General features: G+C 38.2%; 1 long non-coding RNA gene across 10 annotated transcripts in view, besides 1 other annotated feature; it reads left to right on the forward strand.

Moving 5' to 3' along the window:
• The window catches only part of MIR3976HG (MIR3976 host gene), a 165,609-nt gene that overhangs the window by 108,216 nt on the left and 32,867 nt on the right, over window positions 1–24,526 (forward strand). For 8 of the 10 annotated variants that reach the window (NR_172496.1, NR_172503.1, NR_172497.1 and 5 more), the window contains exons 5-7: window positions 19,239–19,370; window positions 21,429–21,605; window positions 23,557–23,754. This is a non-coding gene — a long non-coding RNA (MIR3976 host gene). Of the gene's footprint in view, window positions 1–10,098; window positions 10,305–19,238; window positions 19,371–21,428; window positions 21,606–23,556; window positions 23,755–24,526 lie in introns of all 10 variants that reach the window. The other 2 variants (NR_172498.1, NR_172494.1) reach the window with 2 other exon arrangements.
• Window positions 11,431–11,480: a silencer, noted in NCBI's record as "silent region_9264". NCBI's record gives its function as "represses an Ori minimal core promoter by ATAC-STARR-seq in GM12878 lymphoblastoid cells {active_cell/tissue: GM12878}" and the evidence as "EXISTENCE:reporter gene assay evidence [ECO:0000049][PMID:35858748]".

The following is a 24,526-nucleotide window of genomic DNA, read 5'->3' on the forward strand; positions in this document are numbered from 1 at the left end:
AATCATTAACCAAAAAGAAAATATTAATCAAGTATGCCAGAAAAGACTAGGCATAGCTAGGTAATATCTGATGAAAACGTTTTTTAAAAGGGAAATAAAGCATTACAAGTGGTGGAGTTTCACTTCAGAATGATAGAAGGTTCAATTCATTAGGAAGATATGGAGTTCTAAAATTTCACCTAAAAGCATAATTTAATTTTCAGAAAATAGAACTGCAAGAGGAGAAAACAAATACATAGTTGAATATGTGAACACACCTCTCTCAGAAATTAATGGTTCAAGCAGAGAAAACATGAATAATGATATAGAAGATTTAACAGTACAATTTGCAAGTTTACATACATGCAGCATTGCACACAACAGCTAGTGAATGCACATTCTTCAAGTAGGTGGGGACATTTTCAAGAGTTGATCACCTGTGAGGTCATAAAGCTAGCCTCAACAGAAACAAACACCACAGAAACGTTCTCTGGGCAAAACGCAATTAAGCTAAGAATGAGTTAAAACAAAACTAGAAATAAATTCCATATATTTGGAAATTTTAAAACTACTAAATAACTCACGGATCAAAGGAGAAGCAAAATACTATGTCAAACTTGTGAAATGCTATGGTACTTGTAGGGAAATTTAATAATTGTTAATGCTTTCATTTAAAAGAAAAAGGATCAAAAAGGTCAAGGTCATCAGGCATTAATCATCCTACATAAGAAGCTAGACAAAACCCAGCAAATTAAGTCCAAAGGAAGTAGAATGAAGGAAGGTAATCATATAGAAAAAAGCCACAATTAATGCAAGAGAAAATAAACATAAATGAGAGAACAAAGGGCAAAAGTTGGTTCTTTGGAAAAGATGAATAAAACAGACAAGACTCTCAAAAGGGTAAGAGGAAAGAGAGAAAAGACGAGAAGTATTAGGATAAAAAAGTACTTAACTATCAATACATCAGAAATGTAATAGGTAAGAATGTACTATAGCCAATTTTAAGCCCGTTAATTTGAAAATTTAGGCATAATGGCATAATTTTGAAAATACAACTTTCTACACTAATTTTAGAAGGAGTAGAAAATCTGCAAATTTTTATAAGTATTAACAAAATTGGATCCATCAACAGAACCACACACACACAAAAATCTTCAGGCCCATTGGACTTTACAGGAAAATTCAAGGAACAATTAATTTCAAGTTTACACAAACTCTTCCAGAGAATAACGGCCAGTGTAGTCTTAATACCAAAACCAAACAAGAAAGTGGGGAAAAACATAAAACCAAAAAAAAAAATCTAGATAAAATATCAGCAAACTGAATCAAGCAGTGTCCTAAAAAAAAAAAAAAGATAATATATTATCACCTAGAAATGTTTGTCTCAGGAATCAAAGGATTGGTTTAACATTAGGAAAACAATTCACTGAAATAATTGAATTAACAGTTTAAAGGAAGAAAATCATGTCACCGTCTCAATAGATGGAGAAAAAGCAGTCAGTGAAAAATCTCTTTTCATGATGAGAAGTTCTGCAAGTGTTCCATAATCTGACAGAGGACATTTTTTAAAAAGGAGAAACCCTATAGCAAGCATCATTCTTAATAATGGCATATTGAAACAGTTTCAGAAGGAATGGTAACAGCTCCTCTTTGTACCTCTGGTAGAAATCAGCTGTGAATCCATCTGGTCCTGGACTTTTTTTGGTTGGTAGGCTATTAATTATTGTGTCAATTTCAGAACTTGTTATTGGTCTATTCAGGGACTTGACTTCTTCCTGGTTTAGTCTTGGGAGGGTGTTTGTGTCCAGGAATTTATCCATTTCTTCTATATTTTCTAGTTTATTTGCATAGAGGTGTTTGTAGTATTCTCTGATGGTAATTTGTATTTCTGTGGGATCAGTGGTGATATCCCCTTTATCATTTTTATTGCGTCTATTTGATTCTTCTCTCTTTTCTTTATCAGTCTGACTAGCGGTCTATTTTATTAATCTTTTCAAAAAACCAGCTCCTCGATTCATTGATTTTTTGAACAGTTTTTCGTGTCTCTATCTCCTTCAGTTCTGCTCTGATCTTAGTCATCTCTTGACTTCTGCTAGCTTTTGAGTTTGTTTGCTCTTGCTTCTCTAATTCTTTTAATTTTGATGTTAGGGTGTTGATTTTAGATCTTTCCTGCTTTCTCTTGTGGGCATTTAGTGCTATAAATTTCCCTCTACACACTGCTTTAAATGTGTCCCAGAAATTCTGGTACGTTGTGTCTTTGTTCTCATTGGTTTCAAAGAACATCTTTATTTCTGCCTTCATTTCGTTATTTACCCAGTAGTCATTCAGGAGCAGGTTGTTCAGTTTCCATGTAGTTGAGTGGTTTTGAGTGAGTTTCTTATTCCTGAGATCTAATTTGATTGCACTGTGGTCTGAGAGACTGTTTGTTATAATTTCCATTCTGCACATGTACCCTAGAACTTAAAGTATAATAATAATAATAAAATGGCATATTGAAAAGATTCCCTTTGCAGCCAATAACAAGACAAAGATGCCCTCTATCATATGTTTTACATTATATAGGAGAGTCTAGTGAATACAATGAGGTAAGCAAAAAAAAAAAAAGTATGTGTTTGGAAATGAAAATACAAAACTCATTATTTAGAGATGATAGCATTGAAAATTCAATTAATCTACAGAAGTGGCTGTAATTAATAAAAGCGTAGGAAGGTTTCTGAATGCAAACTCCATATATGAAAGTTAATTGTATTTCTACATACAAGCAACAATCCGTTAGAAAATTAAACTATAAAATATATCATTTATAACAGTAAGATTAAATTACTTTGCATTTGTCTAATAAAATATGTGTAAGTAGTACATGGAGAAAAGTATAAAACTTTTTATTGGAAAATGTTAAAGATAGCCTACATAATGAAGACTTTTTTTTCCAATCAGGATGAGTTATTCAATACATGAATAGAGATCATACCAAGTTAAAAAGCTTCTGCACAGCAAAGGAAACAACTAGCAAAGTGAAGGGACAACCCACAGATGGGATAAAATATTTGCAAACTACTCATCTGACAAGGGATTAATAACCAGAATATGTAAGGAGCTCAAGCAACTCTATAGGAAAAGAATCTAATAATCCAATTTAAAAATGGGCAAAAGCTTTGAATAGGCATTTCTCAAAATAATACAAACAAATGGCAAACAGGCATATGAAAAAGTGCTCAACATCACTAATGGATCATCAGAGAAATGTAAAATCAAAACAGCAATGAGATATCATCTCACCATGGTTAAGATGGCTTACATCCAAAAAACAGGCAATAACAAATGCTGGCAAGATGTGGAGAAAAGGGAGCCCTTGTACACTGTTGGTGGAAATGTAAATTAGTATCACCACTATGGAGAACAGTTTGGAGGTTCCTCAAAAAACTAAACATAGAGCTACAATGTGATCCAGCAATCCTTCTGCTGGATATATACCCAAAAGAAAGGAAATCAATATATCAAAGAGGTATTCACACTCTCATATTTGTTACAGCTCTGTTCACAGCAGCCAAGATTTGAAAGCAACCTAAGTGTGCATCATCAGATGAATGGATAAAGAAAATGTGGTACATACACACAATGGAGTACTATTCAGACATAAAAAATAACGAGATCCTGTCCTTTGCAACAACATGAATGAAACTGGAGGTCATTATTGTTAAGTGAAATAAGCCAGGAACAGAAAGATAAATATTGAATGTTCTCACTTATTTGTGGGATCTAAAAATTAAAATAATAGAACTCATGGAGAGAGACAGTAGAAGGATAGTTACCAGAGGCTGGGAAGGGTAGTGGGAGACCAGGGGGAGGTGAGGATGGTTAATGCTACAAAAAATAATTAGAAAAAAAACAGCAAGACCTAGTGTTTGATAGCACAACAGGTTGACTATAGTCAAAATAATTTAATTGTACATTTTTAAATAACTAAAAGTGTACAACTGGATTGTTTGTAACACAAGGGATAAGTGCCTGAGGGAATGGATAACCCCCATTCTCCATGATGTGATTATTATGCACTGTATGCCCTCATCAAAATAGCTCATGTACCTCATAAATGTTAATACCTCGTAGGTATTATTAATACTCACAAAATTTAAAATTTTTTAAAAATAGTGTTAAGAAAACTGGTTATCTACATAGACAAAAGAAGAAATTGGATTCCTACTTTCACCAAACACAAAACAATTTCCACATAGATTAAGAGTAACACGTACAAATCAAAACTATGCAATTTTGAGAAGATAATATGGAAAAATATTTTAATGACTTTTTATGTCTTGAAATAGGGAAGAATTTCTTATACAAGACACAAACTGCAAAGAAAAGCTTGACTATTTTGATACTATGAACTCATGGTTATAAAAAGATGTCAAAAAGGGAGTGAAAATACCAATCACAGACTCTAAAAAGAAATTTGCCACACACATAATAGATGAGAAAATGTTATCCAGAATGCTTAACTCCTACCTAAAAGGATGGACGAAGAACATGAAAATGCATTTCACAGAAAAAGAAATACAAAAGATTATAGGCAAATAACAAGACACTCAACTTTATTATTAATCTGAGAAATTAGAATTCTTACCACAATATTATTTTATTTCTCATCCTTCAGACTGACAAAGATAATTAAAACCCAGATATCAAGTATTGGTGAGGATATGGAGCAAAAGGAACTTTCATCAGTTTATAATAGGAGTGTACATTTGTATAATCACTTTGGAAAACAATGCAGGCTGCTCTGCCTTATGGAGTGGCCATTGTTTATTCATTTACTTTCTTAATAAACTTGCTTTCACTTTACTGTATTGATTTGCCTCGAATTCTTTCTTTTCTTTTCTTTTTTTTTTTTTTTGAGTAGCAGTCTCAGTCTGTTGTCCATGCTGGAGTAGAATGGCGCAATCTCAGCTCACTGCAACCTCTGCCTCCTGGGTTCAAGCAATTCTCCCACCTCAGCCTTCCGAGTAGCTGGGATTATAGGCACCAGCCACCATGCCTTAGTAGAGACAGGGTTTCACCATATTGGCCAGGCTGGTCTCTTGGCCAGGCTGGTCTCAAACTCCTGACCTCATGATCCACCTGCCTCAGCCTTCCAAAGTGCTGGGATTACAGGTGTGAGCCACCATGCTCAGCATCGAATTCTTTCTTGTGTGAGATCCAAGAACCCTCTTTTGGGGTCTGGATCAGGACCCCTTTCCAGTAACATTTTTCTGGCAAACCATGAGGGGATTATATTTAAGATACCTCTGACCCAAAGGAAAATCATCTGCATGCAACACCAATTGACTGGCTTTGGCTGTGCCTGCTTATTAGGCCATAGGAAATGCATGCTTTCCTGGCCCTGTTCATCCAAGGGCTCTGCCCTGAAGCTAGTAATTCAGTTAAGAAACTGGCAAACCAAATCCAACAGCACATCAAAAAGCTTATCCACCACAATGAAGTTGGCTTCATCCCTGGGATGCAAGGCTGGTTCAATATATGGAAATCAATAAACATAATCCATCACATAAACAGAACCAATGACAAAAACCATGATTATCTCAGTAGATGCAGAAAAGACCTTCAACAAAATTCAACAGCCCTTCATGCTAAAAACTCTCAATAAACTAGGTATTGATGGAACGTATCTCAAAATAATAAGAGCTATTTATGGCAAACCCACAGCCAATATCATAACTGAATGGGCAAAAACTGGAAGCATTCCCTTTGAAAACCAGCACAAGACAGGGATGCCCTCTCTCACCACTCCTATTCAACATAGTGTTGTAAGTTCTGGCCAGGGCTATCAGGCAAGAGAAAGAAATAAAGAGTATTCACTTAGGAAAAGAGGAAGTCAAATTGTCCCTGTTTGCAGATGACATGATTGTATATTTAGAAAACCCCATTATCTCAGCCCAAAATCTCCTTAAGCTGATAAGCAACTTCAGCAATGTCTCAGGATACAAAATCAATGTGCAAAAATCACAAGCATTCCTACACACCAATAACAGACAAAAAGAGAACCCAATCATGAGTGAACTCCCATTCACAATTGCTACAAAGAGAATAAAATACCTAGGAATCCAACTTACAGGGATGTGAAGGATCTCTTCAAGGAGAACTATAAACCACTGCTCAATGAAATAAAAGAGGACATAAACAAATGGAAAAATGTTCCACACTCCTGGATAGGAAGAATCAATATCGTGAAAATGGCCATACTGCCCAAGATAATTTATAGATTCAATGCTATCCCCATCAAGCTACCAATGACTTTCTTCAGAATTGGAAAAAACTACTTTAAAGTTCATATAGAACCAAAAAAGAGCCCACATAGCCAAGACAATTCTAAGCAAAAAGAACAAAGCTGGAGATATCACACTACCTGACTTCAAACTGTACTACAAGGCTACAGTAACCAAAACAGCATGGTACTGCTACCAAAACAGATATACAGACCAATAGAACAGAACAGAGCCCTCAGAAATGACACCACACATCTACAACCATCCGATCTTTGACAAACCTGACCAAAACAAGAAATGGGGAAAGGATTCCCTATTTAATAAATGGTGCTGGGAAAACTGGCTAGCCATATGTAGAAAGCTGAAACTGGATCCCTTCCTTACACCTTATGCAAAAATTAACTCAAGATGGATTAAAGACCTAAATGTAAGATCTAAAACCATAAAAACCCTAGAAGAAAACCTAGGCAATACCATTCAGGACATAGGCATGGGCAAATATTTCATGACTAAAATACCAAAAGCAATGGCAACAAAAGCCAAATAGACAAATGGGATCTAATTAAACTAAAGAGCTTCTGCACAGCAAAAGAAACCACCATCAGAGTGAACAGGCAACCTGCAGAATGTGAGAAAATTTTTGCAGTCTACCCACCTGACAAAGGGCTAATATCCAGAATCTACAAAGAACTTAAACAAATTTACAAGTAAAAAACAAACAACCCCATCAAAATGTGGGCAAAGAATATGAACAGACACTTCTCAAAAGAAGATATTTATGCAGTCAACAGACACATGAAAAAGTTCATCATCACTGGTCATCAGAGAAATGCAAATCAAAACCACAATGAGATACCATCTCACTCCAGTTAGAATGGTGATCATTAAAAAGTCAGGAAACAACAGATGCTGGAGAGGATGTGGAGAAATAGGAACACTTTTACACGGTTGGTGGGAGTGTAAATTAGTTCAACCATTGTGGAAGACAGTGGCGATTCCTCAAGAATCTAGAACTAGAAATACCATTTGACCCAGTGATCCTATTACTGAGTATAAACCCAAAGGATTATAAATCATGCCACTATAAAGACACACGCACACGTATGTTTATTGTAGGACTATTCACAATAGCAAAGACTTGGAACCAACCCAAATGTCCGTCAAAGATAGACTGGATTAAGAAAATATGGCACATATACACCATGGTATACTATGCAGCCATAAAAAAAAGGATGAGTTCACGTACTTCGCGGAACATGGATAAAGCTGGAAACCATCATTCTCGGCAAACTGTCACAAGGACAAAAACCAAACACTGGATGTTTTCACTCATAGGTGGGAACTGAACAAGGAGAACACTTGGACACAGGGTGTGGAACATCACACTTGGGGCCTGTTGGGGGGTGGGGAGCTGGGGGAGGGATAGCATTAGGAGAAATATCTAATGTAAATGACGAGTTGATGGGTGCAGCAAACCAATATGGCACATGTATACCTATGTAACAAATCTGCACGTTATGCACATGTACCCTAGAATTAATTAAAACAAAAAGAAAGAAACTGGTGAATGAAAAATTATACAACTACTGTATCCTCTTCTGTCTGTCTATTTGTATGTGTTGTGTGTGTGCTGTTTATATGTGAAAGAGTTTTGATTAATTGGTTTAAAAGTAATAAGAGCTTAAATCACATATTTTGTCAGACAAAGAAAAGCTACAGTGTCTTTTGGTTCATCTGACTTTAGTAAGCTTTGGGAAATAAAGACAGTTTTAAAGGTTATTGGTAAAATTAAAATGTCTTCAAAATTTAGATATTTGGTCTAAATTAGGCAGGTCAGATATTAGGTGTCCTAAATGCTTTAAGGTCATAAACTGCTTCTTTAAGTTTTAAAAATTGTTCAGTTTACCTACTTTGGAGTATTAGATTCTAGATAAGGCCTGGGGACATGTGGAGTTAGCCATACCCCCTAGCATGTTGGAAAGAGTCAGGCCTTATCTGCACTTTTGTCTGCTGTCCTAGGCTTCACACAATTGCTTACTAACCAGATTTTTCACCAAAAGTAAACGTTGCTAAGAGTTAACATTGTAACATGTATCTGAGACTACTAGAGAAACAGTTCTACACACAAGGCATGTAAGGAAAGCAGAATATACTTTTAGTAAAAGACTATAAGAAGCCAAGGGAATGTGCATTTCCTGCTTAAGTTTAGAGAGTTAAAGGATTGTTTTAAGTGAGATAGAAAATATCTAAACGTTTGAACAAGTTGTGGAAGGTTTATAAAGAATTAATTGTAAAAGAGATTCTGTGTGTGAACATATTTGCTAAAGTTAAAGGGGTATTACTCACTTTTTCTGTAAATTGAATATTAAAATAAAAGCAAATATAAAATAAGATAAATAAAATTAATTATTAATTAATAATAAACAATAAAATGATAAAATAATAAGATATAATATATCATATTAATATAATACAATATGTCATATTATATGGTATATAATATTAAAATATATATCACAATAAATAATAAAATAATAATAATAAATAAATAAAGGGGTTTTCTTAGAACACTGATCTGCTCTTTAATGAAAATTGTAACCGGTTATAAAAGGTTTATGAGAATCTTACCTTATGCTCAAACTGATTAAGATTGGATAGATTTGTCTATAAGATGTTATTAAGAATTCGGGTTGACATTAATAGTACACTAATGCAAAGGGTGAAATTTGGCTTATTTGGTATAAAGATCACACAGGAAGCATTGTCAAATATGAAATGCTGTTTGGCTTTCTTTGAGCTGATTTGTATAAATATGTTACTGATATGTGTTCCAAAATAATGGGAAACTCCTATAATTCTGATATGATTTAGTGTGTGTTATCATTAATAATTATAATTGTTACACAAAATCATTGTATGTCACAGAGGTAAAAAAGAAAAAAAAAAACAGTGTAGCATTGCCTGGTAAATAGAACATATGTCTACCCTGGGGTCTGCAATTTCACTTCTAGAAAATCCTGCACATATGCACTGGGAGACATTCTCATGGGGGTATTTATCATACCAGCATGAATGAATGAATATATATATGTGTGTGTGTGTGTGTGTGTGTGTGTATGTGTGTGTATATATACATGAGTATATATATATATACACACACGTGTGTATGTGTGTATGTGTATCTATACACACATGTGTGTATATATGTGTGTGTGTATATATATATAATGCTACCAGAGGTAATCCAGATATCTAACTCAACACAACAGAGAGATACATTTTGATATAGTCACAGAATGAGCTACACACTGAAGAAATTGAATAAACTATGGCTTCACACAATAATATGCATGATCTCAAAACATAATGGAGAGTGCAAGAAGCAAATTCACAGAGGAGTCAATTTAGTGTGATGGCAATTTTGTAAATTCAAAAAACCAAGACTAAACAATACATTGAAGAAGCATACATGAGTAGGTGATAAAATGAAAAAGAAAAGCAAGTTAATGAATAAAACTCTCCAGTTATACTGAGATTGTCAGGTTGGATGTTTTAAAAATCCAGCTATATGATATTTACAAGAGCCATATGTAAAACACAAAGGCATTTTAAAAAGTTGAAAATAAAGGGATGAATACAGACTCAGGGAAATACTAGACATTGTCCAATTCCTGTTCTCTGCCTAGCTTGGCACTAAATATCTAATTCATTTAATTTTCTCTATCCTAAAAATGTAGATAATGTTCTCATTTTTATGGATAAGGAAACCTAGAGTAAAGTGATTAAGTAACCTACCCATAGTTTCCAAACTGGTCACTAATAGAAGTGCTGTTCACACCCAATTCTCTTTCCACAGCACCATGTTGCTCCTCCTCGGACACAGGCTGATCCTATCTCAGCATTCTTGGAAGGCTAAGAGAGAGTAATAGAAGAACAAAACTGTGTCTGAAAATGTAGGGCTGCATGGTTGCTACACCTATTGACACAAGTGAGGGATGGACATAAAAATGCAAATAATTAAAAAGGCCTTTTTGACAGGAAAGAGTGGCTCCTACAGCCAAGGTGAGTCTATGGACCAAAAAGAGAGGAGTAGGAGAAGAGGGTGTTGATGCGCAGGTGGCGGGCATACAAATGGACTCTGGCTTCTCTTCCTAGGGCAGCAGTGCTCTAAGCTTTTGGCATCAGAAATCTTTTACACTCTTAAAAATTACTTAGACCCTAAAACGCATTTGTTTACGTGTATGTAAAATAGTGTATTCCAATTTAGTATATACTAGTATATCCCATACTATGTTAGAAATTAAAGCTGATACTTTTTAAAACACAAGAATACACAACATACATTCCATTAGCCTTCTGCTGAGAGTATAATGTGTCATTTTTAGAAGAAATTTTGGTAAGAGATGTAAAACCATTAAAATTCATACCTTTAATCCATGAATCCATCCAAGAGTCTAGCATAAGGAATAAGGAAACAGTCCTATGGCGTGTGTGTGTGTGTGTGTGTGTGTGTGTGTGTGTGAGAGAGAGAGAGAGAGAGAGAGAGAAAGAAAAGAAGACAATTTCCAAAGGAAGCAACAATACGACGACAGTAAGGGATAGATTGAATGTACCTGGTAATATAGAGTAAAATGCTTATGTTGCATTCTGGTTATGCCACTTAGGGAAATTAACATCGATGTCCTTATCTATAAAATGGGAATAATTTTAATACCTACTTCATATGGATGCTGTGCATATACAATGAGATTATCTATGCCAAGTACTAACTACAGTTCCTGGCATGTAGTAAGTGCCCAATAAATGTTAAATATTTTTGCTACCATTGCATGTGAAATACTATTCAGTTGCACAAGCAATTAAAATAATACAGAATTTAAATTCATTTACACGAAAACATATTCATGGTTATTAAGTAAAATGTTAACAAGACAGCGTACACAACCTTCTATTTTTGGAAAGAACAAAATTTATCAAAAATTCTGCAAAGATATACATATGTTGTCTAACAGTGAGGATTACAGGTTACTTGTATATTTTTTTCTTTTTTGTATGTTTTTCTTCTCTGGCGGTAACTTGTGTAATAAAACGTTTTCCTTAGGAACTGTACGGTATCATGGCTGACACAAGAGGGCGCAGTAGGACTCTTGTGAGTTTTTCCTGGCACTAAGGCCGAGGGTGTAACCCTCTGTGAGCTGTCCAAGGTCTGAAGAAGGCAAGAGCCTTAATCCAGAACACAGAATGAAAGAATAGTTGTTTTCCACCCCCAAACAAAGTAACAAACAAATATGTGCACATTAGGAGCTACTGAAGCCAGGATCTCAGCTCAGATCATTTTTATCAGATTCTCTAGAGATGGGTCTAGAGAAAAAAAAAAAAATCCCAGACTATTCTAATGTGTAGCCAGGGTTGAGAATCCCTGACGCATGAGGGAACTGAAAGCGACCTGACCGCAGGTGCCATGCGTAATTGGCAGGGGCCATGCTGGTCTCTTTCATTCCCTCAAAGATCTGGTTCAACTGCCGGCGACTCTCCATGTGCCTCCTGCTCCGTACTCACATCAGTGAGCCTCCTTCCCCACTCGGTAGACTCACCTGGGAAAGACACTGACTGCCCTGCCTCCTCCACCCACCCCTGAAGCACAGAGCAGGGCTGGAGCAGAGGCGCTTGAGGCTACAGTCAATCGTGGTTCACTCAGCTGTTTTGCAAAACGATTGCCTCACAACACAGAGGCCTCCTTATTCCACACTGCAGTCAGCCCCATCCCGGAGGACGCTCATTGTTGATGATGAAGCACCTCAGCCCCAGATTCCCCTCAGCCAGCTTTCAAAAAGGTTCTGCTCTTGTGGGACAGGACGTTGGGGTGGAGGAAGCTCTGCACCTGATTTCTTACGCTGCACAATTGTGGGCCGGAGTAGAGAACTAGAGCTTCTCAGGAGGCAGAGAGGAGAGGAGAGAGCTTTGTCAGCCCCTGCAGGGCTGGGAATCCTCTGCCCGACAAGAGTGCAGAAGATACCTGTGCTCCTCTTCACTCCCAATGTCCTTCAGGCCACATTCGAGCGGGTCCTTGGCATCTTGCTGAGTTTACAGCTCACAGGGGTGTGAGCGACTGCAAAGGACCATCTTCTAGTGCTTTTGGGTGGAATCACAATCTCTTTGGGGTTCTCCCAAGGACTGAATGTGGAATGCAAGAAGGATACAACCACAAAATGACTTACCAGGGATTTCCATTCTTCACTGTGATGCTTTTCTATCCTCTTCTCTTCCCCTAAAGACATCCCAGTCACTGCTGACTCAAGACAAAGAGGAAGAAGTGAAAGCAAGACCCAGTGGTAGTTAGAATATTTTCACTAGTGAAGAGAGATTTTCCCAGAAATTCCCACACAATGTGATTGGTTGTGTCAATGGAGGAAAAGGAGCAATTGCTTTACATGCTGCATTCTTGGGGCCACTTCCATTGGGCCTATTAGAAATATCTGATGACCCATTGCTTAGGAAACACTGGGGAAATTAAGCTCTATCCACACTCAAGTTATCTTTTATTAGAACTGTTTCAGTTATCTATTGCTGTATAGCATGATGACCCACATTTTGTTGGCTTAAGACAGTCATGTATTATTTCTCACTATGCTGTGGGTTGGCTGGGGGTTCAGTCGGCTGACCTTGTAGGTGTATGTGGGACAAATGGGTCTTTTAATCTCCTGGACTTTCATCTTGGGCTTCTTTCTGGTATGATGGTCTCAGGGCAGCATCCCCAAGGGGCAAAAGCAGAAGCTAAAAGGCCCCTTGAGATTTCAGCTCTGGCATTTGAACATGACACCCACTGCATTCTAGTAGTCAGGGCAAGTCACAGGCAGGAATAAATTCCATTCCTGATGAAAGAAGCTGAAAAACATTTGCGGCTATCTTTAACATATCACAGCATTTCTTATCCTGAACACCAGTTGACATTTTGGGCCAAATAATTCTTTGTTGGGTGGAGGGGAGAGGGCTGTCCTGTGTATTATGGGGTATTTAACAACACCCCTGGCCTCTACCAATTAGATACCAGAAGCATGAGCAAGTGCACGCATGCACACTTGCACACACACTCACCAGCTGTGACAACCAAAAATGTCTCCAGACATTGCCAAGTGTTCCCTGGGGGACCAAAAAATCACCCCTCATTGAGAACCGCTGATCTGTGATAAGTGTGGATTTATTTTAGGTGGGAACTCTGGTACTTGGTATCAACACCTACCTTTTCAGATCAACACTGACTCAAATCTGCTTGAATAAATTTATATCCCCACGTGGATTAACTTACTTGGCTTGAATAATAAGTTCACATACCAACTTGTGGGTGGACTCCATACTTCTCTGCTGAGGAACAGGAAGTCCATCCCTCATCACTGAATGTGGACACGCATGAGCCTTAGGAAGCAGTCAGCTTTTCTTGTTTTGTTTCCCAAAGTTACATTTACTGACTTGTATCTGGCTCCATGAGGCCAGGACATGGTCATGGTGGTCAGTTCCAAAGAGAAGGAAACGAGGTTACATACGTGGATGAGAATGGAAGAGGCATTGTGCAATTTGTTGGGATTTATCTCGCTTTTGTTCACACACAAAAGAAAAATCCATCTCCTGTGCCATTCCTCAAGTCACACAGTTTTGGGGTAATATTTGTGGAACAGCATTCCCCACGGATGCTCTTTATTATTTAAACAAATCATTCTTCCCAACAATTATTCATTTTCAGGTTTTTCTTATATTTCATTGTTCTTCTCTCCCAAGTATGTAAGATGCAGTAATCATTACAAAATAACAGGAAATCTTAATATCTTCAAATGCTAGATGTGTTCTGGCTTGAAAATATCATGTCTGCCCATGCTATAACCACTCGGCATTTCTCCAGTTGGTTAGGGCCATTTGTGATGATGATAATCTCAGCTGAGAGGTGTTGCTGACACCATTATTTCTTGAAAGAAACTGAAGGACCCGGCTTCTTTGTGTTCAGAAAGCATCTCATTTTGTTGTCTCAGTTCTTTGATGTTGCCAGGAATCATTGAACTGTGAGAAGCTGAAAGAAAATTTATATTCCACAGAAATAATATTTTTGCTCAAAGCGGGAGCACAACATTGGGGTAGAACTTTTGTTTCTGGAACTGGACACACATGGAGAGACCGACGATGAAAACCACCATGAAGACTTTGTCAAAATATTTTGTCCCATGGCCAAGCCCTTTCACTGCTTACCTTATCAATAAAGGGCTCCAAATATTTATTTTTTACTGAGAAAGAAACTGAATTTGAGGAGCTGGCACCAGGTTGCACAAGTTATCTGTGATGCTGACACAGTTACAGCATTGCCTTCACAGGTCTGATGAATTGCTGCCAGATTTTAATTGGAACGTACACATGAAAAAGAGAGACTCTTTTGACTGTCTATAAATAATCACAACAGCAGAAAAGCAGCAGCTATAGAAATAGTTACAGAAAATAAGAACTTCCCTTTGAAAACTGCAGGCTTTTTCAACTCTTCCTGTGGGTTCATCTCTCTGCTTCCTTGTACCTGGAATTATCTCCAAATCTAGGTTTTCCATTCTGTCCATACACTATGTGCTCACATCTGTTTTTTTTTTTTTTTTTCAGTATTAGTCTATTTAGGCAGTATTTGCTTTGGTTTTCAGAAGTTCTGGTGCATATGATTTAAAACTTTATTTTCAGTACATATTGGTTTAGGTTCTTAACTCCCATGGGACACAGCATGCAGGAGAACTGAAATTGCTAAACAGGTGCTCTTTACCTTCTCAGGGGTTCTGTGCTGCACCCACATGCCATTCACCCCAGCTGTAATATATGTGTGTGAGGTCAAAGGGGTTAAAAGTGGCTCCTCAAAACTCACATACCATTATAATACTTGGAGAACTCAAGGACCTATGCCAATGAAAATATGTTGATTAAAATTAAGTTAACATTTAAAGATCTCCAGGCCAATTCAGAGGCCCTGATCTTTCAGCGAAGTGTGGGCTTCAGTTTTGCACTATGTGCTTTTCGAGCAGGTAAGGAGTCTAGCCTTTAGCTAGTTGAGGTTATTTGATCCAAACCAGCAGGTTAGGACATTCACACTATCAGCTCTCAACTCTTGGCCAGGAAGGCAGTTGTAGAGGAAGGCAGTTGTAGAAGAAGGTAATGAACAATCTCCACGCAAATCCATGTCTCAGGCTCTGTTTTCAATGGGTTACCAAGATGAAGATAGTCACTCCACCAACCAAAAGCTGTGGACTATATCACCCTCCCACCCCTACAGCACAACAAAGATAGAGAAAGCAGTTGATTTACACCCAGACAGAGAGGCCCACTTCCTGGGTAATAAGCAACTGACAGCAGGCATTTTGCATGCTGTCTACTGGAAGAAGCAGAGTTCCCTGGAAGAAGCAAAATTTTTAGCAGTGAATGAATGTGGGGATTTGCATTACATGCTTGAAGCAATTATAAGACCAAAGGCAAAGTCCTTTTTGCCATTGGTAGTGGAGACCCTCCTGCAGGGTGCAGAAAGGCACAGAAAAGGTGATGAGAGCTCTGGACACTACACCTGGATGATGAAAAAAGAATTCAGAGAGAAACAATTTACTTAGCCACAAATAGTTTTGGGAAAATTATCAGTATCAAAGTGGAGTCACCAATGTCAAATCTTAATACATGAAGCCAGGAGGCCATGAAAGAGGGACCTCCTGCACGCCTGCCTATGATGGCAGTTGTGCAAGGAATTCCTCAAAGCTGCAGCATTCCAGATAAGCCGGTTGCACAAAGAAACTTTCCTCACAACAGCTGCCTCCACCCATGAGCTAATGCCAGCTCCTGCAACAAGGCCCTGTAACCAATGGTTTGTTTCAAAACAGCTTCTGCGGACTCCTTTTTTTCTTAAGAGCTTTCACTTTCCCCATTCCACTTTGATGTGCCTATGGTCTGCCATAGCACACATATCTTTCATTGCAATCCCTTGCTCTTCCTGAATGAATTCTTTGCTTTGAAGAGTTGGTCTCTGTCACTCATTTTAGATTGACAGTTTAGAATTTCCCCAATTTTTATTAAGTTATATTTATACTGGAATTGTACTGCATGACACTTTTATGTGTGTACATGTAAGTATAACTATACTTATGAAAACTGGAAAGTCTATTTCATTCTCATACCATGAAATTTGATCAATCATTTTCAATCTTTTTATTGTCTTTATAAAGCCCTGAGTTAAAGAACTCTTTCAGGTATTGTTATAAATAAGTGACAGGGACAGGGAAGGTTTTGGTGTCTTCAATGAGAAGGTAGCTAAGCAGGAGGCTTCATGGAAGGCTGCCCCAGCAGAACTTATTTCTTTCTGGGTGTTATGGGCAGAATTGCATCTCCCCAAAATTCACATGCTGAAGTCCTAACCCCCAGGACTTTAGAATGTGATCACATTTGGAGATAGAGCCTTTAAAGGGCTGATTAAGTTGAAGTGGGGTAATTAGGATGGGTCCTAATCCAATCTGACCAGTGTCCTTATATGAAGGGGAAATTTGGACATAGAGACAGAGACCATGCCTCTGTGAGACCATATGAAGACACAGGGAGAAGATGGCCACCTGCAAGCTGCGGAGAGAAGCCCAGGAGAAAACAAACCTGCCAGATGCTTTGTCTTGGGTTTCTAGCCTCCAGAACTATGAAAAAAAATAATAAATTTCTGTTGTTTAAGCCACTTACCCTGCGGTATTTTGTTATGCATCCCTAGCAGACTAATGCACTGGGTATGCTCTACTTTATATTTGCACTCAAGGGGACGGGATCAGTGGGAAGAAAGTCACCCACAGGGGCTGTGATGAGGCTATCTTAACCTTGAACCAAGAAGGCAGAGATGAACTACATGATTCTGAAATCCCTTTAGCACCCTGGCAGTTGAGGTAAGTCTGAGTTTTCCCCATCAGTCATTGTGATGGAATCAAAAGGAGCATTGGATTTAAGGTGATTCTGATGACAGCTTCTCCCTCCTGTTTCCCTGCCCTCCCATGCCCCCAAGAAGGTGTTACACATTCATTTTTGTTGTTGATGTTTTTGTCCACTCAGAGTGACCTATCTCCTCATCCATGCATATTCCCTTGTCAGAGTTTTTGGAACCAAAAGATAACATTTTTGAAAAATGACTGATCAGCATTCATGGTAGTCTAGTGTCATGGTTCCTAATCTTGAGCATGTATCAGAATCACCTGGAGCATTTGTTAAACTTGTTAGAACACAGATTGCTGGGTCCCACCTCCAGAATTTCTGATTCAACAGTCCTAGGGGTAGGCCTGAGAAGCTGCATTTTGAACAAACTCCCAGGTGATGCTGGTGCTGCTGTTTCAAGTATTTTGAGAACCATCACCTAGGGCAATGGAACACAAGGAAACATTATTTGTTCACAATTCTCTGGCTCCAGCTCTAACCACCTTTACTCACCACAGCAGACAGAATAGGGGTGTGTGTGTGTGTGTGTGTGTGTTGTACCTGCATTTTAAATTAGGCCTAGGTTGGGGTAAATGTTGTCTTAGAGAGTTTCAGAAAAAGGTATGCTGCTGTGATTAAATTTTTCCTCAGATGAAGCTGCTGAGGAGGCCAACTCTATCCAGTAAAAAGACATTCTAAAAAATTCCATTTAGCAAACATTTGTCTTTAACGCAAATGAACAACAAACATACTATTTAAATTTTATTGGTTTTTTTCCTTATTGTGTGACTTTCTCTTAAAAAACCCTCAAAGGGAAGAAAAGTGTATAAGTACTACAGTGATCTGTAAGCTAATTATGATAATTCAATTTACATAGAGTTTCTATTCCTACAATTAGAAGCACTAAACTTATATTGAGCCACAGGAACAAAAAAAGGGCTAGCAGTGTCGACTCTTCTTATAGTAAAATTGAAGGGACAGTTCAAAGTGGTTTGTTCTAGAAGAGTTTTATCAATTATTATTTGAGTGACCATTGATTGTGACTTGGGAGTATTCTTGTGTGTGTGAAGATACTCAATAAATGTTTAGTCTTTGTTATGAGAGCAAGTGGTGTCAATTTGTCAAAAATTCCTAGAACAAAGGAATATAATTGTATTTATTACCAGCGAACTGCACACTTAAAATGGTTAAAATAGTAAAGTATATATGTGTATTTTACCCCAATAAAAATTAATAAATAAAATATTCTTGTTAATTGGGTGCTGAGTGTACTGCCACTCACTTGCACACCTGACATTGAATACCAAGGGCAATGTGAGGAGGAGAGAGATACCCATTAAACTCTGGCAATAAGGAATCTCCTGTGCTTCCTTGTAAGTTTCAGGTATTTTCATTGTAAGCACAATAGCCAACTCTAGCTAATAAGCAAAAACAAAAGAAAACAAATTGAGAGGAAGGAGAACTGGAATAATCTGTTATGTCTAACAACAACAGCAATGACAGCAAAATCAGGCTTACCCTTGCAGGAGCCAGGGCAGCTTCAGGAACCTCAGTGACAAGATTTTGGGGACCTACTATTTGGAGCACTGTGGTTAACACAATGAGACCCAACCTCAAGGGCTCTTGTTCTCTGGTTCTCCTTCCTCCACATGTTAAACATATGGGAAAGAAAATGTGACTGGCCAAGCTCAGGTCTGGTGTCAATACCTAGGTCAATTAGCTACGGCCAGGTGTGAACAGAAGGATGAAGGAACTGCAAGTCAGGCAGCTGTCTCAAGTGGCATTTACTACACTCCTCTGCCATTTTACTCTGAAAGACTTTGATAAATTAAGCATCACCTTCCACTTTATCCCCCTCTTAATGTGCTCTCCTAGAGTAGCACCACAGGTGCCAGACTTACAACCTTTGTTTTCTCCTATTTAGTCTTAACCCTCGTTCCTAAAGCACAGGTATTTACACGAATGTATCTGGCTTAATTCATACTGAGGAGTGAATAACTGACAGCCCTTTGTTTACTGTATTTTTAAATTATTTTTTACATTTTGGTAAAACAGCCGGATACAGTGGCTTGCACCTGTGGTCTCAGCGACTTGGGCGACTGAAGCAAGAAGATCACTTGAGCCTAGGAGTTCGAGGCTACAGCAAGCTATGACCGTGCCACTGCACTCCAGCCTGGGCGTGACAGAGTAAGACCTAATCTCTAGATTTTTAGTAAAAAGTACATTACATAAAATTTACCTTATTAGCCACTTTTATGTGTACAGTTCTGTGGCATTAATTACATTCACATTGCTATGCAACTATCACCACCGTCTGTCTGCAGAACTTTTAAACCTTTTCCAACTGAAACTTTGTACTCATTAAACAACTTCCCATTCCTTCCTTCCCCCAACTCCTGGTAATTTCTAATTTACTCTGTGTCTGCATAAATTTGCCTTCTCTAGTGACATCGTATAACTGGAATAATACAGTGTTTGTCCTTCTGTGACTGGCTTATTTCACTTAGCAGAATGTCTTCAAGGTTCATTGATGTTGCAGCATGTGTCAGAGTTTCCTTCCTTTTTTAAGGCTGAATAATATTCCACTGTGGGTATATCCCACATTATGTTTATCCATGCATCTATCTATGGACACCTGGGTTGTTTCTACCTTTTAGCTATTATGAATAATGCTGTTATGAACATGGGTATATGCATACTGTATTTTTTCCCATTGGGCTCATGAACAAAGTTGCCATGGCAGCAGAGACAATAATAAGCCCCCAGTATGAGTGGCAGGTTGATCACATTGGACCACTCTCATCATGGGAGGGAGAGTGTGTTATTCTCACTGGCATAGACACCTACCCTGGATATAGATTTGCCTTCCCTACTGAAATGCTTCTGCCAAAACCACCATCTGTGGATTCCAGAATGTCTTTTTCATCATCATGATATTCCACATAGTTCTGATTCTGCCAATAGAACTAATTTTACAGTAAATGTGGTTTGTCAATGGGCTCATGTTCATGAAATTCACCAGTTTCAGTCATCTAAACAACTAGCCTGAAGGAATGATGGAATGGCCTTTTGAAGGCTTAGTTGTAACACCAGCTGTGTGGCAACACTTTGCAGGCTGGGGTAACATTCTCTAGAATATGGTATATTCTCCAAGTCAGCAAACAGTATGCCTTGATGCCTTTCCCATAGTTATGATTCACGTGTCTAATGATGAAGGGGTAGAAATGGAAGTGATTCCTCCCACTGTTACCTCTAATGACTAGTAAGTGAATTTCACTCGTATGTGAAATTTTTGCTTCCCGTAGCTGCAATTCTGGGCTATGCTAGTCTAAAGATCTTAGTTCCAAAGACAGGGATGCTTCCATGAAGCACAAAGTGTTGGTTCCATTAAACTGGAAGTTGAGATTGTCATCTTGGCAAAGAAAGGAGTGCCTGTACTAGCTGATGTGACTATTCTGACTATCAAGTGGAAATTGGTTTGCTACTCCACAGTGTGGGTAAGGAGGCTGTCCCGAATGCAGGAGAACCTGATAGTGCCTGTTAGAATTACTATGTCCTATAAGGAAAAACTACAGCAACCCCATATAGGCAGAACAGCTCTGGGCACAGACCTTTCAAGAAGGAAGGCTTAGGTCACCTGCCAGAAAGGGAATCACAACCAGCCAATGTTCTTGCTCAAAGTGAAGAGAATAGAAAATATGAAAACTTATTTCTTTCTTCCTTGCTCTGACTCTTCTTTTGTCTAACTTATGATACGTTAATAGTAGTTCACTTGATTATATACCTCAATACTTAAACTACAGGGTGGCAAAGGGTTGGGGGTGAACTAGCTACAAGAATGAGCATCACTAAAGAAGACTGAGTTTGTACTCTTTTTTGTAGAGAGTTTTGCTGTGTTTTCAGGTGTGTGAGAGACAGCTACATCACATTAGGTAGAAGCATGATGTTGCTTATGTCCTTATTTAGAAATTAAATATAGTTAAAGAGGTGCATATGGATGCCAAACTGACAACAGATGGACTCTGGTGTTTTTTAACCATGTGGACTTGGTTAGGTTAGACCTATTTTCTCAGAATATACCGCTCTGTAGGATTCTGAGTTAGAGTCAGCCAGAAGACCAATTTGAAGAAGGTGGAAGTAACACAGCAGTTGTTGCCCTTGGGGGTCATTGCGTTCGATGAGGTTACAGCAGATGCAGTGGCACCAGTGGGCTCCAGCCTGTCCTTACTCTCCCCCTCTCCGCAGCCAGCTCTTCTTCTGAAGGATGACCACCTGGAATAAGAGCAGCCCTAGGCCCCCCACCTCACTCCAGGTGGCAGATCCACAGAGATGGTAGCGATACAGAAGCACAGCTTCCGATGGCTTCCCCGTGTCTTCAGTTTGCAGCCTTATTTCGGTGCTTGGACGTGCTTAACTTCTCAGGTTGGTGACTTCCCCCGAAACTCCAAATTCCTTCCTGGAACATCACTTTCCCCAGATCCTCCTACGACCAGACAACGTCCCATTCTTGAACTAAATCCCTTGTGCCATAGAGAGCTCACAGTGCCTCTGCTTTCTGAGTGAACCCTGAATGATTCAAAATTCTGTATCACACCAGGGGAAGAAACTTCCAAGTGGTGAGTGATTGAGAGAATAGTTCCTACTCCTGGAAACCAAATAATTGCTGGTTATTATCATGTCATTATTAACTAGTAATAATAGTAGCCGGCATTTACTGAGCACCCACCATATGCCAGACACACGGCCTTATATGCCTTGTGCCATTTAATACTCACAAAAACCTGCTGAGGTAGGTACTTGTCCTATTTTGCAGGTGAGAAAGTTTTTAGAGCTAGCTCAGTGCTGAAAATGTACACTCTTGACTATGCTATTTTCATAAAATTCTCCTCCACATGTCACACATTGAAATTATTTGTTTACATATCAGTGTCCTCTACTAGAATATGACATTTCAAGGTCAAAAAGTACATATTTTTGATATCTTCATTCTTAAAGACAGAGTCTGAAAATTAGAAGGTCTATGATAAATGTTTGCTAAAGAAATTGATGAATAGAAGGAACAGTGGTGAGAAGTGTGGCCGGCATTAGTACTTCTGGTTAAAGAAAACTGGCAGTGAGTCTTGCGACCGACATTTGTTCACATTTCCAGGATGGGAGCCTAGCTACATAAAAGAATTCAGAAAGAATACAGAGTAAGCATATGCTATTAATGGGAGCAATGGTGATAAAAAGAAAATGTTATTATCCAGATCACTTCACATTTTGGTGGGAGGTCAGGGACAACAGGGAAGGGCATGCATTTTATAGAAAAAGCATTTCAAAAAGTACTTTGGAATGTGGCATTTGTTTTTACTTTAAGGAGCACATACACCTACTTGGCAGTAGGGGGAGCAAGATGCAGGGAAATCTAAAATTTTACACTGGACAAAAAATGTGAAGACAACTGAGTCATCTAGGGATAAAAGCATGGGAAAGTGATTTGACACAAAGCTGTCTGAAATGGGCTATTGATATATTTTAAATACTAACTCCTTAACTTAAAATAGTTTTGAATTGGATACTTGAAAGAGTGGGAGGGTGAGAGGGAATGGGTGATGAGAAATTACTTAATGGGTACCAGGTACATTATTCAGGTGATGGACACAGTAAAAGCTCAGACTTCATCATTATTCAAGATATCCATGTATCAAAATTGCACTTGTACTCTTTAAATTTATATGAATAAAAAAATAAAATGGTTTTTGAAATTTCTCAGTAGAGCCCTAGCATTCTAGCACACACTCAAGGGAAAATTGGGCAATGATCAGTATAGGTTTTCAATAAGGATAGAGTAGGATACGTTGTTTTTTAACCTAAATCAGCAGATTTGGGCCAGGTGTGGTGGCTCATGTCTGTAATCCCAGCACTTTGGGAGGTCAAGGCGGGTGGATCACCTGAGGTCAGGAGTTCAAGGCCAGCCCGGCCAACATGTTGAAACCCTGTCTCTACTAAAAATACAAAATTTAGCTGGGGGTGGTGGCAGGCCTCTGTAATCCCAGATATTTGGGAGGCTGAGGCAGGAGAATTGCTTGAACCCGGGAGGCAGAGGTTGCAGTGAGCCGAGATTACGCCACTGCATTCCAGCCTGGGTGACAGAGCAAGAATCCGTCTCAAAAATAATAATAATAATAACAGATTTGCTCTTTAGTGGTAAAATTCACACCACATTTATGCCAATTAGACCCAGCCTTGAACACTTTGTGGTCTAAAGAAAACCAAAATTGAAGGGAAAACTAATGGTACCATTTAATTGAAATTCCCTAGGCATAATATAGTGTGATAAGATAAAATGTGTATTGCTATAAAGGTATGTTTTGCTTATTTTGTAAACAAGGATTATATTCTGCTTTGGAGTGCAAGGAGAAAGTCACAGTCTAGTTTTATGAAGACCAAACTAGAGAAAATCGAGTTATCTTAAAGTGTATGACATCTCCACAAATGAATGTTTATGGCTTTACACTTGGAGTGTTCTTGGAACACTCTTCATAGCAAATCCTCCCTCAGAAGACCCCCACCTGGCATCAGAACAAACGTAAGTTCTTTCAAAATTATTTTGACCATCTCTGAATTTTTTAATTTGAATCTAGGAGGAAAAATCCTGTATATTCAAATTGAGCAATGTAATTGGCTAATGAATTGTTATTATTTTAATTTAATGATGCAAACATTTTGAAATCAATTTCAATGCCTGTAAAGTTGACATTTGTTTGGTTCACCTCACTTTCAGGGCATTTTCTTGTCTAATTAAACCCATGTAGCAAGGACCAGAGCTCCAAAATACTTCAGTCTTCACTTAGGCTGATAATTCTGATTATGGTGGGCATAATGAGAATCCAAACAATTTCACATGAAAACCAAAATATAATATAAAAACTCTCCATGGAATTCATCAAGTCTTATGTATCGCTTTGCTAGTATAAATATGATCAAGTTTCTTCCTAAGCCTGGGCCATGACCAAATTCTATGACATATAAATTTTGTTTTGGAATTTTTCAATTTTTCTTAAGGTCACAGCCTATGTCATTAGAACTATGGCATACATAGCTTGTCAGTCCTATTATCTGCTTGAAGCAAAGGTTTTCTTGCTATGGCATGTGATGATTTATTCTCAAAAGTATTTATTTTTGTTCACAGACTTCAAAATCAGTAAGTTACAAAATTGACTTGCTTTAAGTTTCAATAGTTCGTTCATTGATGCACATGTGTGTGTGCACATACATGAACACTAATCACACCTCCAGGATCTCCTTCAGCCCATAACATTTGCAATTCAAAGTCCCAGGTATCCTTCCACTAATATTTC

The sequence above is a fragment of the Homo sapiens genome, chromosome 18, assembly GCF_000001405.40.
Source record: "Homo sapiens chromosome 18, GRCh38.p14 Primary Assembly".
In the NCBI taxonomy this organism is placed as follows: Eukaryota; Metazoa; Chordata; class Mammalia; order Primates; family Hominidae; genus Homo; species Homo sapiens.